This window comes from Homo sapiens, chromosome 13, assembly GCF_000001405.40.
Source record: "Homo sapiens chromosome 13, GRCh38.p14 Primary Assembly".
Taxonomy (NCBI): Eukaryota; Metazoa; Chordata; class Mammalia; order Primates; family Hominidae; genus Homo; species Homo sapiens.
In genome coordinates, this window is record NC_000013.11 from 80,002,745 (window position 1) to 80,026,693 (window position 23,949).

Here is a 23,949-nt window from a genome sequence, read left to right on the forward strand (position 1 = left end):
CTGTTGCTGAAATGGTTAATGCTTTGGATTTTTTTTACATTACAAGGTTTCTGCTAATTAGATATGGTTAATTTACCCATATATTGGTTTTTTAGAAACTGAAATAGCCTTTTACATTTTGACATTGATTTAAATCAGCTTCTGAAACTCCATAAAAATACCTGTTGGGATTCTGATTAGGAGTACATGAAATATATAGATGAATTTGTGGATAAATGATCCTTCTACCCTAGCGAGTTATCTAATTCATGAACACAGTATACTATGTTTCTTGGTTTCACCTCTTTTATACTATTGTTAGATACAACCCTAGATATTTAAAATTTTAATATTATGGTAAATAACATTGCATTGATTTAAACTTTTATTTTCTAATTATTTGTTGGTATTTTATAAAAGTACAACATATTTTTGTACATTGACTTAGTATCCGTTCACTTTGATAAGTTCACTTATAGACTAATATTTGTCTTTTGGATTTTCTATGTCCATTCTCATGTCTTCTAAAATAGAGCCCCCTTATCTGTGGAAAATACATTCTTAGACTTCTGGGGAAGCCTGAAACTGCAGATAGTACCAATCCCTATTTATACTATGTTTTTTCCTCTATCTGTATACCTATGCTAGAGTTTAAATTGTAAAGTAGGCACAGTAAGTGATTAACAACACTGGCTGATAATAAAATAGAACAATTATAACAGTATACTGTAATAAAAGTCAATGAGCTTTCTCTCTCTCTCAAAATATCTTATTGTATTATACTCACCTATTAGGTTGGTGCAAAAATAATTTTGACATTAAATGTAATGGCAAAAACCACAATTTTGCACCAACCTAACAGTCAACTATGGGTAACTGAAACATTGGAAAGCAAAACCACAGAGCAAAAGGGAATGTTGTATATTCTATTTTATTTTTCTTCACTTAATTGCATTGACAGGACTTCCAGGACAATGTTAGATGGAAATTGTGAGGGGGCTAGCCTTACCTCCTCAGATATCCATATTTTGGAAGAAAATTTTCTGATATTTTATCAACTATACTATAAGTTTTCTTTGAACATATTCTTTATTACATTAAATTTTTTTAAATATTTTGTTTTGATAAGGGAGATTGTTCCTGTTTTGTTTTGTTTCAATCATAAATACATGGTTCCTTTTCTGTTTTTGCATTATTACAGTGGTTGCATGCTTAATTCTGTTAATGTAGTTAATTACACTGATTCAGAATGCAATCAACTTGCATTTTGATTTAAACTCAATTTTGTGGGGATGTGTTAGCTCTTTTCCATATTGTTGGGTTCGATTTGCTACTATTTTAATTCAAATGTTTGTGACTGTATTCACAAGAGAGACTGATATATAATTTCCCTTTTTTATGTTTTTGTCAGGTGTCGGTGGCAAAATTATAATAGCTTCTTAATAAGTTGAGAAATATTCCCCCTTTTCTAGACTCTAAAGTAGTTTGTGCAGAATTGAAATTCTTTCTTCTTAAATTTTTTAGATAGATTCTCTTTTGAAGCACCTGGGCCGCCAAGAGTTTTCTTTGAAGAAAGGTTTTAAATTTTTAATTCAGTCTCTTTCACAGATAATGGCATCATTCAGATTTTCTATTTTTTTGTATCAATTTGGTAAGTTGTTTTTTAAAAGAAATTTATCTAATTATAAAATTAATTGATATAAAGTTGTTCATAACCTCTTACTATATTTTAATGTGTGTAATACTGTTTTCTTTTTATTCCTGATATTAATAATTTGTCCTGTCCAGGCGTGGTAGCTCAGGCCTGTAATCCCAGCACTTTGGGAGGCCAAGGCAAGCCAATCACTTGAGGCCAAGAGTTTGAGACCAGCTTGGCCAACATGGAGAAACCCTGTCTCTACTGAAAAATAAAAAAATTAGCTGGGTGTGATGGCATACGCCTCTAATCACCCCTACTCAGGAGGCTGAGGCATGAGAATTGCTTGAGCTTGGGAGGTGGAGGTTGCAGTGAACCAAGATTGTACCACTGCACTCCAGCCTGGGCAACAGAGTGAGCCTCTATCTCAAAAAAAAATTATTAATAATAACTCGTTTCTAATATTTTTCTTCTTACCATTTTCTTGATCAGTACTGCAGGGGAATTATAAATTATATTAATGTTTTCAAAAAACAACTTTTGGCTTTTTCTCTTTCCCAGTTGAATATTTTTTATTTTTTCAAGTACTGCTCTTTTTTTTTTTTTTTTTTTAAAAGGCTATTTCCTTTCTTCCTCCTATTTGTGCTTAATTTGTTCTTTTTTTCCAGATTGCTGAATTGGATGCTTAGATCATTGGTTATTATCTCTTCCCTGCTCTTCTAGTACATGTATTTAAGGCTTTAACAATTCTCCTCTAAGCACGACTTTTTCTACATTGCACAAATGCCTTTCAGTTACAAATATTTTCTAATTTCCTCAATTAAAACTTTTATTTTATCTCTGCAGTGCAAGGAGAATACTACAAACCCTATGCCACTGTTTTCTGTTTTGCTTCTGTGTTCTGTGCCAGAAACCAGCCTATTCCTCAAAGGCTCATAGGGCTTACCTCAAAGTATCTCCCTCTTCTCTAGAATATTGGCTCATTCCATAAGGATTCAGGATCTTGAATCCTTAAGTCCTGGCTGCATTGGTTTCTTTCTGTAACCATGAAATAACTATTTATTTTATTTTATTTAGAGCAGATTTTACAGCTGTTGAAGCAGGAGTTCCTCTCCAATGTGTTAAAATTTTACCAGTAAGATCTGTTTCACCTCTGCTTATGTTACAGTACATATTTGTTCAACTCATTATTATCTAGAGAATGGCAATCTAGAAATAGCAAGATTATTTTTGAAAATGTTTCGATTAAAAATTAGATTAGTTGTACTATTTTCCCTTTTCACATTGTGTACATGTGTGTATTCCTTTAATATCTGGTCTTATCACTTACAAAATTGTAACTTTTTTGAAGGATTGCCATGGCAAAAACTGTGTTTTGGAGAGGTCTCAACCACTAATCATTTTGGGATTTCATCAAACCTGTGTATTCCTTTTTTGGTATATCAATATGTGAATTGCTGTGTAAGGGATGACCGTTGAGAACTCCAACTAAGGAGGTTAAAACTTCAGAAAATGTTATCTGCTTCATAGCTGTAGGTCAGCACCTTTAAAATGTTTTTATTTGTTACATTGCAAATTTTTTCTTCCTACTGAAAACATTTCAGACTGCTGTTGGTTGGTTGGTTGGTTCTATGCATTATCTTTGCATAGAATGAATAATCCTTATAAATGTTCAGTACTTTAATGTTACTTTTGGGAATGTCTCAATCATAAAACAGGTCATTTATCCATCATGTACAAATGAGTGAATTATGATGTGGTCACTTGGATCTAGGGTCCATTTGTGATTATTTCCTTTATTCATTAATTCATTAACCAGGAGACAAGACTTTTGCTGCCAATGTTTTATGCTCTTTCTAAGAAACAGCAAGCTCATATTTTCTCTTCTGTGCTGGCTTGATATAACTTCTGTCTCTTCAATTACATCAAATGACTCTTTGTTTATTAAGTTTTGCAGCCTACTTTCTCCCTGAAAGACCCTGGATTCAGGATAGCAACCTTCTGAGTGCCTTCTAAGCCATGTTTTTGTCCAAGTGGGTTCAGGTTATATGTACTGAATATCGAGGACAGTCTCGAAAGAGAAAGGCCACAAAAAATAATATCATGCTGTCTGAAGAGTGGAAGGGGAAGAGCCAGGTATCTTGTCAGTTTGTCTCGGGCCTGAAAAAGGACTTATGTTCTGGTTATGTATGTTAGGCCTAGAGAGTGATGAGACTTATTCAAGAGGTCACTCAAGAAAATCATATTTTTCTTGCCACACCAAATAGCTTTAGGTCCTTCTTAGGAACTGACATCAGCAGCAATTTCTTCTCCTTCGTTCTGAAAGACTGACTCCCTGGGCTAGCTATGATGCTCCCCATCATTTTCCACCCAACTGGAGCTATGAATGGAGGATCACTGTGGGAACAAGGTGCATGCAGGTATGATTAGGTATGGCTGGACAGAGAAGGCTTAGGAACTGAGGATACGCATGGCATAGAGAAGCTTCCATGGCATAACTTTGACAATTATAGCATTTTGTTCTCTAAAATTATTATTGTTCTCCTATTGAAACAGGTCCAAAAGAGAGTTCATTAATTTCTCCAAAAGCTTTTGCACTCTTGTCACTATCCAAACCAAAAACAAAACTGGTGATCGCGCTGTAGAGCAACTGGGGAAAATTGATTGTCAGGATGAAGACAGGGGAGAAAACGTTATGAGAAAAACACAGGTTGCCTTGCTGGGACTGTTTTTGGAAGAAAAATTGTTTTGGAAGGTTATTGTCAGTGATGACAGTGTGAAGGATGAATCAGAGGAGCCAGCGAACAATTGTATCTGACCAGGATGTGGCTAAAATAATAAAGGAAAGCCAGGGATGCTGCATTTTATTAATATTACCTCTATTGCTTTCCAACATTTTTAAAGGCTGGGATACTTATATATGAAGTAAAGCCTAAATAGTTTGGATTTTTATGGAAAAACATAAACATGCATTTAGCAAATGCATGGTGCCTCTAGTGCGGTTGCAGTTTATCAAGTATCTGTTTACTTCTATAGTTCCCTACAAAATAACTAATGAAGATGCTCGCTCCGAGTCCTTCTTCCTCTGCTCACACAAATGGTGACAAATTTCTTTATTATAAAATAAGATTATTAAACTAGACAATCTCTGAAGACCTGACAGCTTTGATAGTTGAGGCTCTGCTTTTGTGAAACCTGAGGTTTTGTGACTTCTCATGCAGTTTAAATATCGAGTGACATTTTCACAGTACTCAGAGACAGCTCAGGTGACTTCTGGATCTTTTTGTTACTTCCAGCAATGATGGAAACTGCCAGATGCTTAACATTAAACTTCATTTTTTCCAAGTGGATGCCAGTGCCTTACAGCTCGAGATCACAATTGCTTTTTGGAATATTGTGTGATAACTGATACCATAGCAGTGCCAGCCATTTCAAAAGAAATGTGACACTTGTTACTTGCCTCGAGAGGGCAATTCAGGGACAGGCAGGGTGGACCTTACTGGATTAAAATGAAGCTTACTGATGAAGCGTAACTCACAAAGCTTATGCCAACTGTTTTCTTTTGGCAGGTCACCAGTGCCACTTAGCTCTCAGTTTAGCAATTATAGGTGCTAATTGCTTTGAAGTTTATCAATCTACCTAAAGGCAAAAGCAATCATCTGCTTAGTTAGATTATTATTCACATCAAGATCATTAATGTGTCTTTGCCCATCAGAATAATGTGTAGTTTGGTAAAATGAAAAGAAACTTGTGTTAGGAGTTAAAGATCTGGGACCTAGAATTTCATCATTTATTTTCTGGGTGTCCTTGGAAGAAATTATTTGTTTTCTCTTGGCCGCTATCACACTTAAAATTTAGAATAATCCCTATGCAACTTTATTTATATTTTCTAAGATTATTGAAAGAATGCATTACTTACAGCTACATGTAATAGGTTAATTAATATTTTAACAAATTAATAAATAAATATATTTTAAATTTTTTTTCACACAAAAAGCAAGTAAAAGAGCCAGAGGGAACACCTAGTTTTACCCTCTAGTTTTATAGGTAACTAAACTGAGACTCAAAGAATTTCATTAACTTAAGCAATGTTTTCACGTTAGTGGAAATAGAAATTCAATGTGCTTTCCATTAGGTCACATTTGTTCTATTTTGAAGATCAAAAGAGATAATAGATGAAATCTATAATATAGAAATGATAATATACTATACTGAGTATTTGAATAGCATATTAGCAAAGGAGAGTAGGTAATGGCATCTTTATTTTCCAAATAAAAAAACAAATACATAGGTCAATTGAAAGATTACTGGGGTCAGCTATCAAGGGTAATGGGTTGGGTTTTTGTTGTCTCTCCCTGATAATATACAGTGTGCTTTCAGTAGGGACGAAACTTACTAGTCACTAAGTGGCAGCATAGAATAATGAAAACAGCATAAGCTCTTGAGGCAAGCAAAGTTAGGTTGCAAACCTGGGCCCATCCCCTACTAGCTATATCACTTTGGGTAAACACTCAGTATCCCTGAATATGGCATTCCTCAGGAAAAAAAAACCAGACATATCTTATTAGTAATGATACTACTAAATATTTATGGAATGTTTATCATGTGATAGTTACTGCTTTAATAGTTTACTATTACTGTTTTAATAGTTTTAAATGTATTAACTCATTGAATCCCCAGAATAGAATTATTGTGAAAGCTATGTGAGAAGATAAAATATGTAAAGCACCTGTTATAATCTTCCTTCCTCTTACATACTACCGGTAAGTTTGATATTCATGCTAGTGAACATGGCATGAACATCAAACTTACCTAATTTGAGTCACTGTGGAAAGAGTAGGGGACCCACATGTCGCAAGCATATGCCATGGCAAATGGGACCCCTACTCTTTCCACAATGACTCAAATTAGGATGCATAAGAATGGGAAGAGAAAATATAATGATAGTGATTGTTTCCTATATATCACAATTTGGAGATAAATAATCGATCTTTAGTGTTTTTGCCGAGCATTAATGACAGTGATGCCCTGGCAATGCTCTGCTGTAACATCATGGTCATCTCCACTTAATCTGAAAGAAAAAAATCATTTCCACGTATGTGTTTTTAAATTTGTGTTGTTGATGTTTGTCCATGAGTAAGCAAAAATATCTTTCCTCTAACAAATGTCTTCTGATTAAAATATAGGCAAACCACATTCATTATATAAGCATATATCATCTGATTCCTGCAATTTGATCTTTTTTTAAAAAAAAAAAGCATAAGGAGAAGGGCCAAATTTTTTAAAAAAAAAGATTTTTTGTCAAGGAATTATATCCTATAATCAAAATCAAAATTGACTTTCCAGTTAGGAAAGGAATTCAGGTCAAGTATGTGAACTAGCAGTTTCAAAACATGACCACATACATGGTTTAGAACAAATATTAAAAACAAACTCTTTTTGCTGTCCTATTTACCAGAAGGTCTTTTCAGCAGTTTCTGTAAATTCTTACCTTGTTGCCAAAGAGTGATTTGAGGTTCAAAAGCAACTAGAGAATAGAGCTATTATTTCTTTGACTTTTCATTAATTCTGGGCCTTATGGTGACTGAACATCTTTCTTTCCAGAAGCTCAGAGACATTGTTTACTGAGCTGCTATGCTAATTTGTACTTTGGAACAAAGCTTGAGCTAGTACTTACTTCAGAGATGGTTCAAATGAATTGAGTAGAAGCAGTGGTACCCAGATCCTGTAGTTTTGGAGATTGCCAAAACCTCAACAACAAACTATTTGATGATTACTCTTAAATCTATACCTTTAGTCAATCTTTCTTCTGAATTCTAAATATATTAACTGTGCATAATATCCTCACCTAGAGGTTCCAGAGACACCTAAAATTCAACTTCTCCCATATGTATTTATAATATTCTACTCCAACCTGCTAACTCTTTGGTATTCTACATCTTGGTTAATGATTTACTTATCCACCTAGAAATCCCAGCCAGAAACCTGCCATCGCTGTTGATTCTTCCTCTTGTTCAGCATTTATACCCAATGAATCTCTCCTGACCATCAGTTCTACTTCCAGAAAGTCATTGAATCTGCCCGTTCTTCCAACCACTATCCTCATTTTCTCTCTCCTGGATTATTGTCATAGCTTCCTAATGGGTCTGCCTGTCTCCAGGGTAACCACTTTCCATTCCACCCACTGAACTGTGCCAGAGTGTGCTTTCTGAATAACAAATCTGATCTTGTCACTCACACAATTAAAATCCTCCAGTGGATCCCAGCCACTTACAGCATGAAAATTCAAACTCCAGAGCACAGCCACAAAGACTGTTTTTGATCTGGCTGCTAGGTCTTTCATCAGCAACCCAGGACAATCCTTCCTGAACTTCTCACAGTTTGGCCCCGCGTAATGCTCTCTTGTGTTTCTCCGGCTTTGCACGTGCAGTGTTCATGCCTGGAACAGCCTTTCTCTTTTCTACCCCCTAAACACCTACTCATCCTTCTAGATGTCGTTCAGTGGCACCTGTTCTGTGTAGCTCTTCCTATGCTCATCTGTGCATATTCTCAGTAGCAATCACATGCACATCCATATAATAGGTTTTACTTCATTGTATTTTAATTCTGTTTATATATTTGTTTCCCCCTCCTTTCTGTGAATTCATTTGAGCATTGTCTTTGTATTCCCAGCATCTAGCAGAGCGCCTGGCAGTAGAGTAGGGACTCAGTGCATGTTTGCTGAATATGAATGAATACCAAGGCAGCTGGTCTCAGTCAAACTGCAGCAACGCTGGGCATGCAGCTCAACATCCTCTGAGACTCTGTCCTCATTTTGCGAAATTAGGGACAACCAGACCTATCTTCCTGTCCTATCATAAGAATTAAAGAAGACATGGGAGTATTCCGTATACAGTAAGTTGATACTTGCATAAATATATTATATGTAAGATCATGTAATTATTGTGACCCATTACACAGTGAACAAGATATTTTTAAAAACTGATTTAGCAATACATATGGCACATAAGGACACTTCACAAAACAGACGTAGAATGTACCTGCCTTCTACTCTCATCCTGGTGAACTTATGCTCTAAAGTCTGGCTTCAGAGTTGGAGAGTCTCCCAAGCCTATCCTGTCTCCGCCCAAGCAGAACTTATCATGGTCCTCTCTAGGCTCCCTATATATCTGGTATATATTTCTCTTATATCTTGCACCACTGCATACAGTTTTTGTTTATGTGTTTGTCTTTTTCCCATTCTATTGGACCTCCTCAAGATGTTATCTAATTTTCCCAGAGCTGTTACTTCCCTTTTCTCAGTGATTACTCCTCTGCAAAGTGGGTCTCATTCAGATTCCCAGAACAAACTGAGGACAATATCCCACAGTTCCCCGGATTGTCCCTCCCCTGGATGAAGGGTATGGTGCTCTGGGAAGTACCCCAGGGTTCATGAGTTATTATCTGAATTCCCCTTGATGGCTGCCTAACTTGTGCTTCAGGCTCCAGGGTGTATTGGAGGTTTCCCAGGCATTTTGCAGCATGATTTATTTCAGAGCTTTAAATGGATGTGTTGTCCTTGCTTTCCCTCTCAGTATCAGCTCAAGTCTCTGTATGAGGCTTGGCACATTCTGTTTACTCCCCGGTTTACTCTTTGCTAATGTGCTGAGCTTTGCTCAGGAACCCTGAGCTATTCAGGGGCATATCTCCTGGACGACAACCAACAGCCTTCCTGGATCTCCTCCCATTCCTCCGCTCCTCTGCTCTCCTTCCTTCACTTCCTCCTCTGCCTTTTTTTCCCTCCTCCTCTTTCTATACTAAAATAGTTTTTTAAAAGCAGCCAATTGTCTTTGAAGATTTGCTCAGTGCCAGGCCTTGTGCCAAGTGCTGTACATGCATTATATCATTTTTCTTTGCAATAAATCTATGAGGAATTCCTATCAATGTCCTTTTTAAAAAAAAAAAAAAAAGATAGGACACTAAAGCTTAGAGAGATAACCTGACTTGGCAGACATTTCAAACCAATTGGGTCTGCTTGAGTCTAAAACTCTTGCTCTTGATCCAGATGATATTGTGCCTCTGAGTCATCACTGACCCCACCTCTGTCACGCTTTTCTGACTCCCACACTTTCCTCTGAGGCCTCTGCCCTACCACTGGTGGCACAGTTTTGCCTGCCTGTGACTTGGAGGTTTATGGTCAGCTGCACATCCATGGTCAACCCCCATTGCATCTGCTGTATGATCTCCATCTACCTCCTTAGTCTGCCTTTCTTTAAGTACCACATCTTGTTACCCTCACCTCCTGACACATAAAAAGTTAGGAACTGTGACTTCTTTACTTTATAGTCCTAAATTGTCCCGCAAGTGGACCCCAAACAAATCTGTTTAACAAATAAATATATGGCTGGGCACGGTGGCTCACGCCTGTAATCCCAGCACTTTGGGAGGCCGAGGTGGGCAGATCACCTGAGGTCAGGAGTTCGAGACCAGCCTCAACATGGAGAAACCCCATCTCTACTAAAAATACAAAATTAGCTGGGCGTGGTGGTGTATGCCTGTAATCCCAGCTACTCAGGAGGCTGAGGTAGGAGAATTGCTTGAACCTGGGAGGCGGAGGTTGTGGTGAGCCGAGATCGCACCATTGCACTCCAGCCTGGGCAACGAGAGTGAAACTCCGTCTCCAAAAAAAAAAAAAAAAAAAAAAAAAAAACAAATAAATATATCTTTAACATGAAAATAATAGGTAATATGTGAATTAAAAAAATATCCAAAATTCTTAGGACCACTAATTATTTTAAACATTGTCCATTTTATATAGAAATACTTGATATGTTAATTTGCATTTTTTTTTGAAGAAGATTCCTCACAGCTGATTAGTAGGCAATTTTGTTGGTTTGGGTTGAATTAAGGCAATATATTTAAATTTAAATGTAGAAAACTGGGTGCTATGGTTTGGATATGGTTTGTCCCCACCCAAACTCATGTTGAAATGGGAATCCCAATGTGGCAGTGTTGGAAAGTGGGGCCTAGTGAAGGTGTTTAGGTCATGGGGGTGGATCCCTTGTGTATACATTAATGGTCTCGCATGGGGTGAATTCTTGCTCTCATGAAAGTGGGTGATTAAAAAGTGTCTGGCAGTCTCAGTTGCTTTCTTTTGCTTCCTTTTCTTACCGTGGGATCCCTTTCCACACAACTGCTCCCATTCTGCTTTCTGCCATGAGTGGAAGCAGCATGAGGCCCTTACCAGATGCAGCTGCCCAATTTTGGACTTTTCAGCCACCAGAATTGTGAACCAAATAAAACATTTTTTCTTGATGAATTCCAGTCTCAGGTATCTGTTATAGCAATACAAACTGGACTAAGAGACTAAGTTCTTTTAAAACTGGAAAGAAAGATTTAGCCGCACAAAAATATTTCTGTAACTTCTTCCAAATCTTAACTTTAGTGTTTCATTATAAGAAGAAGCAATCATGTTGTTTGTGATGTCTCATGATTTTGATCACGGGCAAATCCTAGTCCAGTTTTGGGCTTTCAAGGAGCTACTTGTAAAATCAGATAGTTGGTAGAGCAAAGCTAATTTAAAGTCAGACATTTAACTTTGTGATCATGAGCTGTAACGTGAATGCCTTTTGTTTTGTGTAAGGTAACCTAAATCAGGAGTTTTATTCCTTGAGCTCTAAGCGTATATGAGGAACAAAAGAAATAAGTATTCTGTATTAGTCAAGAAAGATATTACTTTAAAAAATAATTTTTGGATCCACGAGTCAAATTCTGCAAATTTCTATTTACAGGTTTGCTGCCTATTATGTTAATCCTGTATAATATGTCAGAAAAAGTGGACACTTATCTGTCTAAAAATAGAATAGTAGTCCAGGCATACCTCACTTCATTCATTGTGCTTCACTTTATTGCACTTTGCAGATATTACATTTTTTATAAATGGAAGGGTTGTGGCAACCCTGCATCTATCAAGTCTATCAGCACCATTTTTCCAACAGCATATGCCCATTTTGTGTCTCTGTTTCACATTTTGGTAATTCTCACAATGTTTCAAACTTTTTCATTATTATTACATATACTGTGGTGATCTGTGAGCAGTGATTTTTGATGCCATATTGTTATCATTTTGGGGGTGCCACAAACCACACTATATAAGTTAACAAATTCTATTGATAAATGTGTGTGTTCTGACTTCTTCACCCATTGGCCATTCCCTCACCTCTCTCCCTCTCCTTTGGCCTCCCTCTTCCCTAAGACACAACAATATTGAAATTAGGCCAATTAGTACCCTTCAATGGTTGATAAGTGTTCAAATAAGAGGAAGAGTTACACATCTCTCACTTTAAATCAAAAGTAAGAAATGATCAAGCGTAGTAAGGAAGGCATGTCAAATGCCAAGATATGCCAAAAACTAGGCCTCCTGCAGCAAACAACCAACTTGTGACTGCAAAGGAAAAGTTCTTAAAGAAAATTAAAAGTGCTACTCTAGTGAACACATAAGAAATAAGAAATAATAATAAGAAGGTGAAATAATCTAATTACTAATAGGGAGCAAGTTACAGTGCTCTGGATAGAAGATCAAACCAGCCACAACATTCTCTTAAGTCAAAGCCTAATCCAAAGCAAGACTCTAAATCTCTTCAATTCTATAAAGGTTGAGAGAGGTGAGGAAGCTGCAGAAGAAAAGTTTGAAGCTAGCAGAAGCTAGTTTATGAGGTTTAAGAAAAGAAGCCTTCTCCATAAGTAAAAGTGCAAAGTGAAGCAGTATGTATTGATGTAGAAGCTGCAGTAAGTTATCAAGAAGATTCAGCCAAGATCATTGATGAAGGTGGCTACACTAAACAATAGGTTTCTCATATAGATGAAACAGCCTTATGTTGGAAGAAGAGGCCATCTAGGCCTTTTACAGCTAGAAAGGAAAAGTTAATGCCTGGCTTCAAAGCTTCAAAGAACAGGCTGACTCTCTTGATAAGGGCTAAGGGCAGCTAGTGACTTTAAGTTGATCCAGTGCTTATGTATCATTCTGAAAATCCTGAAGTTCTGAAGAATTACACCAAATCTATTCTTGCTGTACTCTAGAAATGGAAAATTAAAACTGGATGGCAACACATTTGTTTACAGCATAGTTTACTGATTATTTTAAGCCCACTAGTTGAGACCCACTGCTCAAAGATTCCTTTCAAAATACTATTGCTCATTGACAATGCACCTGGTCACCTAAGAGCTCTTGATGGAGATTTACAAGGATATTAATGTTGTTTTCGTGCCTGTTAATTCAACATGCATTCTGCAGTCCATGTATCAATGAGTCATTTCAACTTTCAGGTCTCATAATTTATGAAATACATTTTGTAAGGTTATAGCTGCCACAGACAGTAAATCCTTTCATGGATCTGAACAAAGTAAATCAAAAACCTTTTGGAAAGGGCTCACCATTCTATATGCCATTAAGAACATTCATGATTCATGGTAAGAGGTCAAAATGTCAACATTAACAGGAATTTAGAAGAAGTTGATTCCGACCCTAATGGATGACTTGAAGGGGTTCAAGACTTCCGTAGAGGAAGGAACTGCAGATGTCACGAAAATAACAAGAGAACTAGAATTAGAAGTGGAGCCTGAAAATGTGACTGAATTGCTGCAACCTTGTAATAAAACTTGAATGGATGAGGAGTTGCTTCTTAAGGATGAGCAAAGACAGTGATTTTCTGAGATGGAATTTACTCCTGGTGAAGATGCTGTGAACATTTTTGAAATGGCAACAAAAGATTTATAATATTACATAAACTCAATTGATAAAGCAGTGGCAGGGTTTGAGAGGATTGACTCTAATTTTGAAACAAGTTCTACTGTGGGTAAAATGCTATCAAACAGAATTGCATGCTACAGAGAAATTTTTCATAAATGGAAGAGTCAATCAACGTGACAAATATCATTGTTGTCATATATTTTAAAATCCTCACAGCCACCTCAACCTTCAGCAACCACTATCCTGATCAGTTAGAAGCCATCAACATTGAAGCAAGAACCTCTACCAACAAACATTACAACTTGCTAAAGGCTCAGATATTAATCAGTAAGTTATTTTTAAATTAAGCTATGTACTTTTTTAGATATAATGCTATTGCACACTTAATAGACTACAGTATGGTATAAACATAACTTTTATATGCAGTGGGAAACCAAAACAATTCATGTGACTTTATTGTGATATTCACTTTATTGGAGTGGGCCTAGAACTGAACCTGCAATATCTCTAAGGTATGCCTGTATTTATTCACCTCACTGTACTGTTATAACGGCTCTACCAATTCATGTAGACTAAGATTAGCAGTGAGGAGCTGCAAAGGCAAGGATTGAATTAGAGGGAAAAATAGTGCCACACTAAAGGTTATTAGATAGTTCAGTCTCTAGAGCAAAATGAATTGTCTCTTCTTGTCATTCATAAGATGATCAAAAATGTCTTCCACCCAGATCTATAGTCTAATCTTTACTGTTCAACTAAGTGAATTTTTTTTGAGAAACTACTTTAAGGTTTAACATCACGTGGCAGATGTAATAATCATGCAGTTCTTTTATTTAATATCCACAACTACACTGAATGTATATACTTACATAAAGCTATAGAATCCACCATTATTTTAATTTTTGTGTGTATTATAACTGATCTTTTCCAATTGGTTTTATAGATTAAGCAGCTAATACAAATTCCGACTTACAAAAATCCCCATCTTGAATATAAATTAGTTCAATCATTATGGAAGACGTGACGATTCCTCAAAGATCTAGAACCAGAACTACCATTTGACCCAGCAATCCCATTACTGGGTATATACCCAAAGGCATATAAATCATTCAATTACAAAGATACATGCACACATATGTTCATTGCAGCACTATTCACAATAGCAAAGACATGGAATCAACCCAAATGCCCATCAATGAAAGAATAGATAAAGAAAATGTGGTACATATACACCATGGAATACTACACAGCCATAAAAAGGAATGAGATCATGTCCTTTGCAGGGACATGGATGGAGCTGGAAACCATTAGCCTCAGCAAACTAACACAGGAACAGAAAACCAAACACTGAATGTTCTCACTTATAAGTGGGAGCTGAACAATGAAAACACATGGACACAGGGAAGGGAACAACACACACTGGGGCTTGCTGGGGGTGGGGGCAGGGTTAGGGAAGGGAGAGGATCAGGAAAAACAGCTAATGCATGCTGGGCTTGATACCTAGGCAATCGATTGATAGGTGCAGCAAATCACCATGGCACATGTTTACTATGTAACAAATCTGCACATCCTGCACATATACCCTGGAACCTAACAATAAACACCCACTAGCTCGTCAGTATGTATGTGTGGGTGCACTTGAAATGCACTCTTAAGATAAATAGAATTTTAAAAGGTAGGTTTGCCAAAAAAGATTAGTTTAAACCAATGAATGAAATGTATTTTGGTCTTTATAAAAATGTAATTTTATCATTTTTTTAAAATTCATGCAAGAACAATGTGTCTACTCTGCCACCTGAGATTTCCTCATTCATTCATTTAGCACATCATTACTGATTAGCAGCTTTAAACCGTATGTTATTCAACCCCGGAGATGTTTATTAAAGAGTAATGTCTATGATTTATCTCCCAGCAAGGACAGCCTTTATGTCCTTTTAGTAATTCTACATGTCAAGTCTCCAAGCCCCTACTTTCATGAATAATAGAGAACTTAGAGGGTTGTATATGTGGAACCAGAAAGTAGTCTAGAAGACACCAATATTTATGTTCTTGGTAAGATTAATTTCCAATTTGTCCACAGATCCATTGAATTCATTGCCAAATGCTAAGAGGCGTGTGTCTATCCTTTCTTAACTCTGGGAATCCTGTAGAGGGTGGGGTGTGGTTTTATATGAGCCGCTCATGTATAGCCACAGATCACTTGTCCTCTGCTTTATAACCTCTCTTTCTGGTTCCTGCCCTCACCATCCATTTGCAGCTGATGGTCCTCCAAGATGTCTCTCTGCCCTTGTGCCACAGCCAGGCCCTGTCCAGACAGTCATTCATTTTTCCATGTCATTACTGTTCTTGCCTTTTGCATACACTGTACTCTGCTAAGTCATCTGTAGTAGGCAGAATAATGTGCCTCCTCCCTCCAAAAAATATGTCCACTATCAAATCAAATTCCTAAAACTCGTGACTATTATGTTGCATGGCAAAGAGGAATTTAGTGTGCAGATCAGATTAAGGTGGCTCATCAGCTAATCTTAAAACACGGAGAGTATTCTAACTTATCCCAGTGGCCTAATGTCATTATAAGGTCCTTAAATGGAAGAGGAAAGCAAAAGAGGACATCAGAGTGAAGCAATGGAAGGACTTGATGCATATTTGCTGGCTTTAGATGGGGCCACGGTCTAGGGGATGTGGGCAGCCTCTAGGAGCTGGGAAAGTCCAGGTAACAGATATTGCCCTAGAGCCTGTTTTAGTGTTGTTTTAAGCCACCAAGTTAGTGGTAATTTGTTATAATAGCCACAGAAGTAAAATGCAGCATCCCTCTGATGGAGATGTGTTGTCTTGTGTAACTTCTGGAAAATGGGACATCCACACTCTCCTAGAGCATTCATATATTGATCTTTAAGTTTTGGTGACTGTCTCTCCCCAGACAGGAGGACATCTCTACCTTTCTCACATCAATGCCTCTTCAAAGGGAGGGTCCTACAGAGAAATGCCTGGACCTCTGGTGATACACTAATTTTATTTTTTAAATAGTCTTCTCCCATTTGGGGCACAGATATTCCAGACTTGTTGGAGAGTACTGAGTGAGGAATTGGTGAAGCTCACCTTACTGGTACTTGAAACTACTGTTTCCTTTTATGCATATGCCAAGCAGAGGTGACAGGCCCAGCATGCGAGACATGACATTCTTGCGGTGATTTTTCTGGTAAAGGCCCATGGTTTTTTAGTGAATCTGGCTCCTGCTCCACCCCCACCCCCTGCATCGGGTATGCTAGCATCTACCAAACATGAATGGCCAGCAGGTCCCATGCTCTTCCCTGTGGAGATTTGGAGCCCCAAGAAAATCACGCATGTGCATAAAAAAGAATGAGATCACATCCTTAGCAGCAACATAGATGAAGCCGGAGGCCTTTATCCTCAGCAAACTAACACAGGGACAGAACACCAAATACCACATTTGCTCAGTTATAAATGGGAGCTAAACTTTGAGTATGTATGGACACAAAGAAGGGAACAACAAACACCGGGGCCTACTTGAGGGTGGAGGGTTAAAGAAGTGTGAGAATCAAAAAACTACCTATCAGGTACTATGCTTATTACCTGGGTGACAAAATAATCCGTACACGAAATCCCTGTGATGTGCAATGTACCTATATATAAAACCTGCACATGTACTCTTGAACCTAAAAGTTAAAAAAATAAAAGTAATAAGTAAATAAAAAGAAAATCAGGCACGCAGCCAGATTATTGTTTTTGTGCATCACCTCATAATCTGCGATGGGTAAGGAGTCTCCTGAGCATTCTAGAACAAAGAAAGAGGTGTATATGCATGAGCATTGGTCTGCCGTTCTAATTCAGCTCCAACATAGCCAACATGTGCTGTCACATAAATTAAATATCTGTTAGCCCCTGTCCTCAAGGTATTCTCTCAATACCTGTTGCAGAGATCGACACAGTGTCTTCTTTGCAGCAGTAGATATTCAGCCTGTGTGCACTGGTGCTGCTGTAAGGCTGAGGTCTGCTCTGATCTGGCAGGGCCTCTGTCATATTGGCAGTTAAGCATTTTGAATGTGGGAGAACAGTGAAATTGAGCTTAAGTCCTCTTCAGGGTGGAATGGAAGGCTATTAGTAGAGAAGAGGCAGGATTTTGAAGAATTATAAGAACTACCAAAAGGTAGGAGGAGAATCCCACAGCATGAGCAAGGGTCAAGATTCAAGTAATCATTTGCTGTGTGTGGAGAGGATTAAGTTGTCCAAACTGGCCAGGGTGCTAAGAAAGAGCCTAAGGGAGCCAGAGAAGCCTAGGTAATCTGTCTTTAAAGCAACATGGTTATAAAACTTTTTGAAAGCTGATCAGTGTACCAATTTGCTTAAAATTTTTTGTTGTTGAAAGTGAGTGTCTTCAGTCACTTTCCTCCCACCCAAGCTTTCTCATTTTGGTAAACTATGAAATAGTCTCTTGCCGGGTGTGGTGACTCATGCCTGTAATCCCAGCACTTTGGGAGGCAGAGGTGGGTGGATCACTTGAGGTCAGGAGTTCGAGACCAGCCTGGCCAACATGGTGAATCCCAGTCTCTACTAAAAATATAAAAATTAGCTGAGTGTGGTGGTGGGCACCTGTAATCCCAGCTACTCGGGAGGCTGAGGCAGGAGAATCGCTTGAACCCAGGAGATGGAGGTTGCAGTGAGCCGAGATCGCACCACTGCACTCCAGCCTGGGTGACAAGAGTGAGACTCCATCTCAAAAAAAAAAAAAAAAAGAAAGAAATAGTCTCTCACATGGCTTTAAGCATTTTGATTTGTTAAGTGCCTTTTTAACTTTATTTTTTTAATGTCGGATTAATTGCATAGTCATTTATTTCTTCTTTGTGCTGTTTGTAATAGAAACATGGCTTAACAATCTACCAGTAACAAGGGAGTAGCATAACGACTTCCTAGGAGTTGGGCTAGTCTGTGTTCAAATGCCATGTCTAGATCCAGGCACAATGTGGCCTTGAACATTACTTAACATCTCTAAGTTTTTACTTTTGCATTTATAAAATGCCATTCATGGTATCTGTCTCCCAGAAATTTTAAGGATTAAAACACGCAATTAGAACTAAAATTCGCCAAAGTGCCCTACACACAGTAAGCCTTCACTCATTAAAAAGTAGATACTTTCATCATTACCTTCTTCCAATACCTTTTCCTTATTAGAAAAAAAAACAAAGAAATTATTACTGCAGAAAAGAAAAAAAATCTGAAACAATATGGCAAACACAAAGAACGTCATAATCCCACTCATTCAAAGGTAACTGCTATTAATATCTTGCTGAATATTTTCCATAATCTTTTATCTGGTTTCCATATATTCTTACATATTATTGAATTTTTTCTTTTGTAAAATGAGATTATGCCATGTATGCCATTATAACCTACTAGATTTGAGCAAACCACCATTTGGTGGACATTTACGCTATTCCAAGTTTTTGTGATATGGCAGTGTAAAACCAACTAAAAATGATTTGCAAATTAAAAAGCACTAATGGTTCTAAAAATTGACAAAAATACTTAAAGACACAAAAACAGTAACAAAACAGCGCATAATTGCCAGTACTTAAAAAGTCCATTTGGTCATCACTGAGACTTCATTTTCATGTGGACCTACTTTCTTTCCAATAAAATAATTTTGAAAATATTATATTTAATTACATGTTTTTCTGGCCAAGTCATATATTGCCAGGGCAAACATGAAACTTTGGCAGCAGGAAGAGGTGAAGGCACAAAGTGTGTATGACACATTAAAAGACTTGATGGAGGATGAGGAGACTTTGAAGGGTTTTAAAGTACAGGCTGAGCAGATTGCATCCCAGTTTTAGACTCTGCAAAACAGACACCTTGAAAGAATTACTTGGGTAACTAAATCTTCCTTATCTAGTGGTAAGGGTTGTGAGTTAAACCAAAAGTTTCAGTAAGTTAGCTCAAATCCTTTCTGGACAAGGTTAAGAATAAGTACATAAAAATATAAATAAATAGGAATCATTTCAAATGAATCATGTTTCTTTTCTGACCAGTAGGAACTTACAGAAATTGTTATTGTTGTTGTAAAATGTGTTACACTAATAAACTCTGAATACCTGTTCCCACATTAGTATTCTAAAGATGAAGGGGGAAAAGAATGCATTAGCTGTTACTCCATTTATGAACTGGGCTGACTGCAAGAGGATAGGGTTAATTCCTCATGTCTGCAGGGAAGCACTTTATCTCGAGTGATGTGTGTCAGAGTTGCTGTCCAGGGCAGATGCTTTCTTCAGCTGGTTCCTGCCTCCACTTCTGTTGCGTCTGAAACAGAGCACTATGCAGAACGTTTGTTCTCAGACTTGCTTAGAGATCTTGTAAAATTTGCTTAATCTCTAGCCCTGAAACATGTGTCTGTGTATGTATTTTTTAGGTGGCCAGGGTTTTTAAAAAAATATGCCTCTCTGGCAATATGTCTGATTGACCAACAGTTGGGACAGAGTGACACAAGAAAATTGTCAGTAATCAGTGCTATGAATATACAAGCCTACCTGATTCATCCACTGGGCTCAGCTTGGTACCAGTGCTTTTGTTTTACATTCATTAAAATTCCCATCAGGACACAAAATGCTGAACATCACCCAAAACAAAACCAAACAAAACTAACCAACCAAAAAAGTAAAATAAAACTTAGGCACAGATACAGCAATGTTGTTTGATGAAGAATTAAACAAACCATGTATATATTGCTTATTCTTCTTTAGCTCGCTGGTAATTTTTTCTAAGGTTGAAACTTTGTGTCAGGTATAAAACCCCAAATATCGAGTTTATGCTTATTTAATTCCCTCTTTGCTTCATGAAGAGAGACTGACAAATATTTTTTAATGAAAGATATGCAGTCTTTCATACTCCCTCTCTATGTTCAAATATGATAGAAAATCCTGTCTTTCGTTTCAGCTCAAACAAACATTTTGGTCATTATACCCTCTAAAAATATAACTTTGCCATATACAAGTTGAGGAAGCATGTAAGGGTTAAAATAGGTGTTTTGATAGGTTAAAATAGGTACTTTATAGATAAAACAAGCCTATGTCAATCATATGTTACACATATGCAAATATTTTGATCTTCATTTTTAAAAACTACAAAGGAAAGTTAATTCCAATTCTAGGAAATGGAATTCTTGTATTTTAAGAAATAAAAACTAGTCCAGGATAGAATTTTCATTTGATCTAAGCTACTGGGTTTCATTTTATTTTTTACTGAAAACATATGCACCCACTGGTTTTACTTTTTGGTGGTAGGGAAAGAAGTAGATATTGAATAGGTTACATGCTGTGCATTACTTTCAACAGACATTGTGTTAAACTAGAGAAACAACCATTTGCAGTGAATGGCAGAGGCTTCTGGTACTCTCTCTAGGGCCTGTTCTCATTCTCTTCAGTGATTGCAGAAAGCCTGAGCTTTGGTTTGGCACACTGACACTAAATCAAGACCTCATTTCCCAAACTCCCTTGCTAGGTGTGGCCCAGTGACAAGTTTTGGTTATGTGGGTATGTGTGATCAACTTCCGGAACATATCCTTTCTCCCTTTCTCCTTTCTACTCCTTGGATGTAAGTGGGATGGCTGGCTCTTCATTCTGAACTGTGAAAGTAGGGAAGCCTCCTAGTGATGGCGACATGGAACACTGGAGGCAACCTGTGTCCCAGATCTGACTATGGAATCATCACACCGTCTCCAAACTACCTCAATCCAGACTTTCATGCAAAAAGAAATGAAGATTCATCATGCTTATACTTTAGGTATTTTGGATCTCTGTTATGAACAAATATAAGCCCTAATGAATACGGAATTTGATGCCTAAAAGCGGAGTGTTGGCCATGGCAAAACCTGAAAGATTGGTGCTGCAGGTGCAGGTAATAGAAGGCAAAAACCTAGCAACTCTCATTCTACTGTGGAAAACCATATGATGAAACTATTACTAGGATCACTTGGAAAGCAGACCACATGCTATGGTCATAGCATCAGGGAAAATTGTAGAAACAATTCAAGAAGTTGTCTTATGTTAGTTGCTTCTTGGTGCTTCAGCAGAGACTACAAAAGAAGTAAACTCAGGTGTGAGCTAATCAGTCTAGTATCAGACTGTAACCTGCAATACAAGTTGACAGAGTCTAGTAATATTACATTAGTAAGTTAATGCTAACTACACATATGTGGTGCTTACTATGGGCCAGTCACCATTCTAGTGCTTTATGTATTTTAAGCAACTTATTCCTCAAAAAACACAATGAAGTGCATACTGTTTTTAACTGCATTTTATAGATGAAGACCAGATAGGCTGAGGAACGTGCCAATTTTACAACTAATAAGTGAGAAACCTGGTTTGTACTAAGCAATCTGGCCCCAAAGTCTGTATTCCTAATTGTCACACTAAACGGTCAGTTATTTGGACCTTATGGAATTGACAAAGCTAGTTGCCTTGTACTACAGATTGAAGCAATTCTAAGTAAAGGCTGCAAAGGGTCAGACTTACCAGAAGACGAAACGGTGCCTCTGAGCTTTTCCCAGCACCTGTATTTAAGAGTTCTCTGCCAGACAATGGCAGCCAGCTCAGTGCAAAAATTAGATGAAGAGAGCTGTGTCCCCACCCCAGCTCTTTGTTTCAGTGACTTTAAGGGAGCCCCTCTGAAACATGAGAGGAGGGGCCTAGGCAGAGCCCAGAGGTAATAAGTAAAAGTCCCTATCATCAGTCTTAAAAACTCTGACTCCACAAGATTTTTATCTGTGATTATTGACACATGGAACTGACCTGAAGCAAATAAACTGGAAGACCACTAGGTGTTTGACAAAATTATATTACTAAGAAAACAAAAACCTATTCAACCCCCAAGGCATTCCCTTGGCCACCAAAGCAGGACCAGCAAAAGGCAGCCTACAAAAGCTGGGCAGGACCGGGTGCAGTGGCTCACGCCTCTAATTCAGCACTTTGGGAGGCCGAGGTGGATGGATCACCTGAGGTCTGGAGTTTGAGACCAGCCTGGCCAACATGATGAAACCCCGTCTCTACTAAAAATACAAAAATTAACCAGGTGTGGTGGTGGGTACCTGTAATCCCAGCTTCTTGAGAGGCTGAGACAGGAGAATCACTTGAACCCAGGAGGCGGAGGTTGCAGTCAGCCGAGATCATGCAACTGCACTCCAGCCTGGATGACACAGCAAGACTCCGTCTCAAAAAAAAAAAAAAAACTCGGCCAGTCCAAAAAGCACACCTTCTCCAATGCCCACCTCGGATGACCCATACACGATAGTGAACCAGGAAGGCCCACTGGGAGGCATTTTCAGTTTTTCAGTTGGGATGACCTAGGAACTCATGCTACTGACAAGAAGAGAGTTGTCATTATTCCTGCCCCTTTCAAGATTGCTCTGCTTTCCATGATCTTTTGTCCAAATGGGAGGTTTTTCTGTTGTGGTTTCCTGTTTTTTGGTGCCCCAAGGTATGCTGCTGTAAGGGCAGATGACTGGCCATGATGAGGAGCCATATATGTACATGTTAGAGATGAATCCCCATGAATCAGAGATCTAAGACTTGCTGGGCTTTGAATAACACCCTCATGAGGATACCTTGAGAAGCAGGGGCTTGCGAAAAGAAAGATGCATATGGTATTTGGGTGGCCAAGGTGGCAGGTGGTAACAGATACTGCTAGTTGTCCTATACCTGTTCTGCTTTTCTTCTATCTAAAGCTGAGATCATGATAAATAAATTAAATACTTTAATTCCCAGCCTAACTCACAGCTAAATGTAACCATGTAACTGAGTTCAGGCTAATGGAATGTGAGAGGGGAAATTATGTGTGCAGTTTTTGAAATATGTCCTAAAGTAAATAGATGTGCCCCTTTTTCTCCCCTTCATCTGTCCTATTTCTTGGAACAGGGATATATTGGCTAGATATCTATTGTGGCGGCCTGATGCATGCCCCTTCCTCTGCCACCAGAAAATGTCCAGGTTCCAGTCCCTGGAACTTGTGAATGTTACTTGATGTGGCAAACAAGGATTTTGCCAGTGTGGTTAAAGATCCCGAGAAAGGAAGATTGTATTGGATCATCCAGATGGGTCCTAAATGTGATGATATGTATCCTTATAGGAGGAAAGCAGAGGGAGTCTTGAAACAGCAGAAGAGGAGACAGCAATGCAATCACAGAAGCAGAGATTGGAGCAATGTGGCCACGCCACAAGGAATGCCCACAGCACCAGAAGCTGAAAGAGGCAAGAAATGGATTCTCCCTAAGAGCCTCTGGAAGGAACACAGCCTTCTTGGTTTGGGCCCAGTGAAACTCACTATAGAACCTCTGGCCTCCAGAACTGTGAGAGCATACATTTCTGTTGGTTTAAATCAGCAAGTTTGTGGTAATTTGTTACACCCTAGGTTTACGGTCTAATACACCACCTCAGATGAGGAGAATGAGAACTCCATTATGGGAAAGGTAAAATGAAAATTTAGAAGTGGCTAAGTTGCCAGATAACTCTGAAACCATAACAGCTCTGAGCTTCCTTCATCAGACTTTTTTAAATGAGAAAGGGATAAACTTCTGTCTTTCAGTCACAGTTATTTGGAGTTT

General features: G+C 38.0%; 1 long non-coding RNA gene across 1 annotated transcript; it reads left to right on the forward strand.

Moving 5' to 3' along the window:
- Nucleotides 1–8,332: 8,332 nt before the first annotated feature.
- Nucleotides 8,333–23,919, forward strand: LINC01080 (long intergenic non-protein coding RNA 1080). Its single transcript, NR_104138.1, has 2 exons — nt 8,333–8,509; nt 23,475–23,919. It is a non-coding gene; the product is annotated as a long intergenic non-protein coding RNA 1080 (long non-coding RNA).
- Nucleotides 23,920–23,949: the final 30 nt, after the last annotated feature.